At 44.7% G+C, this 6,832-nt stretch overlaps 1 annotated feature.

The window, feature by feature from the left end:
- Window positions 6,733-6,832: an enhancer, noted in NCBI's record as "active region_9362". NCBI's record gives its function as "activates an Ori minimal core promoter by ATAC-STARR-seq in GM12878 lymphoblastoid cells {active_cell/tissue: GM12878}" and the evidence as "EXISTENCE:reporter gene assay evidence [ECO:0000049][PMID:35858748]".

The raw sequence follows: 6,832 nt of genomic DNA on the forward strand, positions 1-6,832 counted from the left end.
CAGAGTGGGAAAGATGGTGATGTGACAATGAAAGCAGGGGGAAAAAGGCCATGTGATGTGGGGCCATGAGACAAAAAAGTTGCAGCCTCTCTATAAACTGGAAGAGGCGAAATTCTAGGGAAGCAGATTCTTCCCTGGAGCCTCCAGAAGTAAGCAGCTGTGCTGACACCTTCATTTTTAGCCCACTGAGCCTGATTTTAGACTTCTAAGCTCCAGACCTATAAGAAAATAAAACTGTTGGCTGGGCACTGTGGCTCACGCCTGTAATCCCAGCACTTTGGGAGGCCGAGGCGGGCAGATCACGAGGTCAGGAGATCGAGATCATCCTGGCTAACAGGGTGAAACCCCACCTCTACTAAGAATACGAAAAATTAGCCGACGTGGTGGCGGTCGCCTGTAGTTCCAGCAACTGGGAAGGCTGAGGCAGGAGAATGGCGTGAACCCAGGAGGCGGAGCTTGCAGTGAGCACACATGGTGCCACTGTACTCCAGCCTGGGAGACAGAGCAAGACTCTGTCTCAAAACAAACAAACAAACAAACAAAAAAACATAAAACTGTGTTGCTTTAAGCTACCAGGTTTGTAATTTGTTACACCAGCCATAGGAAACTAAGATGACATCATGTCCTTTACATTCCTCCAGGTCCTGTTCCACATAATTCAGCACTTTATTGTCATGCTCACTAATTCTACTATGTTTAAATGGTAGAATATAAATTCTTGGTGGACAGGAATCAGGATTTTTACTTTTACCCCCTACAATGCCTTCCAGTTCTAGATATTCAGATGTTTGGAGTGAATTATAACTTCGGTGCATAAAAGGGAATGGGAGCGATGAAAGGCATTTTAAAAGAGATATAAATCAACAAACTGTATTTACATCCTTGCAATCAAATTCTAGTATTTTGCTTTTGAGCTCTGTGCCACATGCAGTGTTATGTTAAGCATATAGCAGCCATTTCACAGAGACTGGAACACAAAGGGTATTCAACAAACACCTGATGTGTTAGTAACCCCAAGAAAGGGTTCTTGGGTCGCATGCAAGAAAGAATTTGGGATGAATCCACAAAGTAAAGTGAAAGCAAGTTCATTAGAGAAGTAAACAAACAAAAGCATGGCTACTCGCCAGGCGCGGTGGCTCACGCCTGTAATCCCAGCACTTTGTGAGACCGAGGCAGGCGGATCACGAGGTCAGGAGATCGAGACCATCCTGGCTAACACAATGAAACCCCGTCTCTACTAAAAATACAAAAAATTAGCCTGGCATAGTGGCGGGCGCCTGTAGTCCCAGCTACTTGGGAGGCTGAGGCAGGAGTATGGCGTGAACCTGGGAAATGGAGCTTGCAGTGAGCCGAGATCGCACCACTGCACTCCAGCCTGGGCGACAGAGCGAGACTCCGTCTCAAAAAATAAAAAAGAATGGCTACTCCATAGGCAGAGCAGTGGCATGGGCTGATTGGCTCAGTGTACTTATGGCTATTTCTTGATCATATGCTAAACAAGGGGTGGATATTCAATGAGTTTTCCAGGAAAGGAGGGGGAGTTCCTGGAACTGGGGGTTCCTCCCCTTTTTGGACCATATAGAGTAACTTCTGGACGTTGCTATGGCATTTGTAAACTGTGATGGTGCTGGTGGGAGTGTCTTTTAGTGTGTTAATGCATTAAAATTAGTGTATAATGATCAGTGAGTATGATCAGAGGTCACTTTTGTCACCATCTTGGTTTTGGCCAGGTTCTTTACTGCATCCTTTTAATCAGCGGGGTCTTTGTGACCTGCATCTTGGGCCAACCTTCTGTCTCATTCTGTTACTAAGAATGCCTATCCTGGGAATGCAGCCCAGCAGGTCTCAGCCTCATTTTACCCAGCCTCTGTTCAAGACAGAGTCACTCTGCTTGGAATGCCTCTAACAGATGCATTGAGCTGAAATCTGTGGGGGTAGAGGGAAAAGGAGAAAGGGAAAAGCAAGATGGGTTTGGTACAAAGTCCGCCTTGTCTATTTAGCTGATTAGTTTTTGTCATATTAAGTAAAGTTAAAATGCTGAAAAAGATCATCAAATTTCCAACATGAATTGTTCTGTAAAGCAAAATAGAAGATAATTAAAAATTGGCAGGGTGTCACCATTTAATTTCATCCACTGAATTTAAATAACCAGTATTTTGGCCAGGTGTGGTGGCTCCACCTGTAATCCTAACACTGGGAGGCTGAGGCAGGAGGATCACTCAGGCTCAGGAGTTCAAGGCAAGCCTGGGCAAATAGTGAGACCTTGTTTTTATTTTAAATAATAATAAAAAATAACCAGTATTTTCAAATTCATGTAATATGGTTAATACTGTGCTAAGACATAAAGAGGTACAGGCAACCCATAGGACATGGCTTCATTCTAAATGGCTTTACTATCTAGTTAGGAGATAATGCTAACAACCAACTAAGGTTGCCAGGCAGTTTATCAAATGTCATATTGTGTGACGCAGACTTTACAGATTATAGATATCTGGAAATGGGGCTAGAGAATCAATACTTACTTCATTCATTGAATATTGGTTGAGAACCTATTATGATTCTCTGTGAATAAGAGCGTATGTTCGGAGTTTGCAATCTAATAGAGGGAGACAAGGGAAATAACTAATACAGAATAATTTAAGTGGACAGGCATGGTGGCTCATGCCAGTAATCCCAGCACTTTGGGAGGTTGAGGCTGGCAGATCGCTTGAGTTCAGGAGTTTGAGACCAGCCTGGGCAACACAGCAAAACCCGTTTCTACCAAGGGGGAAAAAAAAAGAACGGATTAAGTGCTAAAATAGCAGGATGCTTTGTAGTTGATAAAGGGTTATTACCGTAACTTCTGAATGAAAGGAGTAGTGGGATTGTGAATGATTTTAAAGTAAAGGCTTTAAGACTGAGCCTTGGAAGAGAAGTAGGATTTTTTTTTTTTTTTGAGACAGAGTCTTGCTCTGTCACCCAGGCTGGAGTGCAGTGGTGCTATCTCGGCTTACTGCAACCTCCACCTCCCGGGTTCAAGTGATTCTCTGCCTCAGCCTCCTGAATATCTAGGATTACAGGCGTGTGCCACCACGCTCAGCTGTTTTGTGTTTTTGGTAGAGACAGGGTTTCACCATGTTGGCCAGGCTGGTCTTGAACTCCTGACCTCAGCTGATCTGCCTCCCAAAGTGCTAGGGATTACAGGTGTGAGCCACCGCACCCAGCTGAAAAGTAGGACTTTGAAAATGTTGATTAAGTCAAACTCTGTAAAATATTTGAAGACATTTATTTTGAGCCAAATGTGAGTGACCAATGGCCCATGACACAGCCCCAGGAGATCCTGAGAACATATGCCCAAGGTGGTCAGGCAGTTAGCAGAAAGGGGTACTGATTCAGACCCCAGGAGAGACTTCTTGGATTTCGCAAAATAAAGAATTCGGGTGAGTCCATAGAGTAAAGTGAAAGCAAGTTTATTAAGAAAGTAAAGGAATAAAGAATGGCTACTCATGGGCAGAGCAGCGGCTTAGGCTGCTCACTGATTACACTTATAGTTATTTCCTGATTATATGCGAAATAAGGGGTGGATTATTCATGAGTGTTCCGGGAAAGGGGTGGGCAATTCCTGGAACTGAGGGTTCTTCCCCTTTTTAGACCATATAGGGTAACTTCCTGATGTTGCCATGGCATTTGTAAACTGTCACGGTGCTGGTGGGTGTGTCTTTTAGCATGCTAATGCATTATAATTAGCAAATAATGAGCAGTGAGGATGACCAGAGGTCACTTTTGGCACCATCTTGGTTTTGTTGGGATTTGGCTGGCTTCTTTACCACATGCTGTTTTATCAGCAAGGTCTTTGTGACCTGTATCTTGTGCCGATCTCCTATCTCATCCTGTGACTAAGAATGCCTAACCTCCTGGGGATGCAGCCCAATAGGTCTCAGCCTCATTTTACCCAGTCCTATTCAAGATGGAGTTGCTCTGGCTCAAATGCCTCTGACAAGGCTACAGTGTAGTTTTATATACTTTAGGAAGACCTAAGACATTCATCAAAACATGTAAGATGTACATTGGCTTGGTCTTGAAAGGCGGGACACCTGGAAGCGGAGACTTCAGGGTCACAGGCAATTCAAAGATTATCAGGCTGGCGTGGTGGCTCACGCCTGTAATCCTAGTGCTTTGGAAGGCTGAGGTGAGAGGATCGCCTTAGGCCAAGAGTTCCAGAGCAGCCTGGGCAACATACGGAGACTCTACCTCTATATTAGGAAATAAACAAACAAAAAAGACTTAAGTTATTATCTAAAGACCTGGAGTCAATAGAATGTCTGGGTTAAGATATGGGGTTGTGGACACCAAGGTTGTTTTTTTGAGACAGAGTTTTGCTCTTGTCGCCCAGGCTGGAGTGCAATAGTGTGATCTCGACTCACTGGAACCTCCACCTCCCAGGTTCAAGTGATCCTCCTGCCTCAGCCTCCCGAGAAGCTGGGATTACAGGCACCCGCCACCATGCCTGGCTTTTTTTTTTTTTTTTTGTAATTTTAGTAGAGACAAGGTTTTAGTCACCATGTTGTCCAGGCTGGTCACGAACTCTTGACCTCAGGTGATCTGCCTGCCTCGGCCTCCCAAAGTGCTAGGATTACAGGCGTGAGCCACCACACCTGGCCCAAGACCTAGGTTTTTTTTTTTTTTGAGACAGAGTTTCATTCTTGTTGCCCAGGCTGGAGTGCAGTGGTATGATCTTGGCTCACCGCAACCTCTGCCTCCTGGGTTGAAGCAATTCTCCTGCCCCAGCCTCCCAAGTAGCTAGGATTACAGGCATGGACCACCACGTCTGGCTAATTTTGTATTTTTAGTAGAGACGGGGGTTTCTCCAGGTTGGTCAGGTTAGTCTCGAACTCCTGACCTCAGGTGATCCACCTGCCTTGGTCTCCCAAAGTGCTGTGGTTACAGGCGTGAGCCACTGTCCCTGGCAGAGATCAAGGTTTTATTATGCAGATGAAGCCTCTGGTAGAGCTCTTATCAGACCTAAAAAGGTGCCAGACTTGGTTAATTCCCTCCTGGGTAAGGGAAAACACCTGGAAAGGAACAGGGCTTTTCTACAGACTGTAGGTTTTCCCCCACAAGATACAGCTTTGCAGGGCCATTTAAAAATATGTCAAAGGAATATATTTTGGGGTTAAATAATTCAATTTCCTTCAGGGCCTGCTATCTGTCGTGATGCTATACTAGAGTCAGGCTGGCTTGGTGTCAAAAATAAAGTTCTAGAAAAGCTAGAAAAAGTCTGGCAGTCTTAAGATCTGTTTTCATGTGAATGCTGTTCAGCTCAGCCTGAATTCCAAAGGGAGGAGGGTATAATGAGCCATGTCCGACCCACCCCCGGGACTAACCCCCCCATCCCCACTTCCATCTAGATGATGGAATAACTAGATTTTCAGGTTTACTTTGGAATGCCCTTGGCCAAGAGGTGAGGGGCAGGGGGTCCATCAGTCAGTTGTGGGGTTTATAATTTTATTTTTGGTTTACAAAAGGATAGAATATTTCAGGTTGAAGCATAGGCAAGAGCACTGCAGACATGAAAGGGCATAATTTTAGGAGAATGCTCACATGGAATAAAGAATGTCTTGAAGGGTATACCGTACATTATTATTGGTGTTATAACAAGTTATCACAAACTTAAGACACAGATTATTTCACAGTTCTGTTGGTCAGAAGTCCAACATTGATCACATGAGGATAAAATCAAGGTGTCATCAGAGCATTAGAGAGGCTTCAGGGGAATGTTTCCTTACCAGTTCCAGCTTCTGGAGGTCACCCACAATGCTGGAGGCTCCCTTCCTCTATATTCAAAGCCAACAATGTTGTATCTCTCTAATCATTCTTCATAGTTACTTGTCACTCTTGACTCTCTTTTGCAGTTTTGGAGGCCCTATGATTACAATCAGCCCACTGGAACAATCCAGGATAATGTTTTTTTTTTAAGATGGAATCTCGCCCTGTCGCCCAGGCTGGAGTGCAGTGGAGCTGCTCAGCTCACTGCAACCTCTGCCTCCCTGGTTAAAGCGATTCCAGGATAATCTATTTCAACACCAGGTAATTAACAACCTTAATTCCCATTTGCTATGCAAGCTAACATATTCACAGCTTCTGGTGTTCAGGCTGTGGACATCTTTGAGGGGCTAGTATTCTGCCTACCAGAGTTAATAAGAAGGAGCTAATACTAAGAGGAAAAGAGGCCCAAAGAGGAAAGTGTGTGAATGCACTGATAAAGGCAATGGGGAACCAGTGCAAGTTTCTGAGTCTTGCAAATTCTTATTTTTTTGAAATAAGCTTTGGTTGCAGCTGAGAAAACTGAACAGGCATAATTGGGGAGCAACATTAGGAGGCCACCATTACAGTTGAGATGAGAGGGTATAAGCTAGAGATGGCAGAGCTAAATCGTTTTCTTTGGTCCAAAGCTGCCTATGCCCTTTTCTAAGTGTTTTCCAACAGAATTCATGAGATCATTCCACAGGATCTCAGCAAGTGCAGTTTCTGATAACTTGGCCGAATTTGTTCAGTAGCTGCTGCAACGGAGGGCTTAAATCTTTCATCTACACTTAACAAGGGGAGCCCGGAAAAGTGGCAAAACCCTAGTTAGCAAGGCTGAGGCTCGCAGAGACCTAGGCATCGAATTTTTTAATGGTCCAAATCGCAGGGAAAGCGAGCACTCCCTGTTCTGAAGGTTTTCCCTAAACACGGAGACAACACTAAAAAGCTGTGCCGCGTGAGGGCTGAAAGTCCTGTTTTCTCCCTAGCTTCAGTGAAGAAAGCCTGACGGCTCCCCCGCGTCCAACAAAGACAACGCTCTTCCGGTCTT

The sequence above is a fragment of the Homo sapiens genome, chromosome 15 (genome assembly GCF_000001405.40).
Source record: "Homo sapiens chromosome 15, GRCh38.p14 Primary Assembly".
In the NCBI taxonomy this organism is placed as follows: Eukaryota; Metazoa; Chordata; class Mammalia; order Primates; family Hominidae; genus Homo; species Homo sapiens.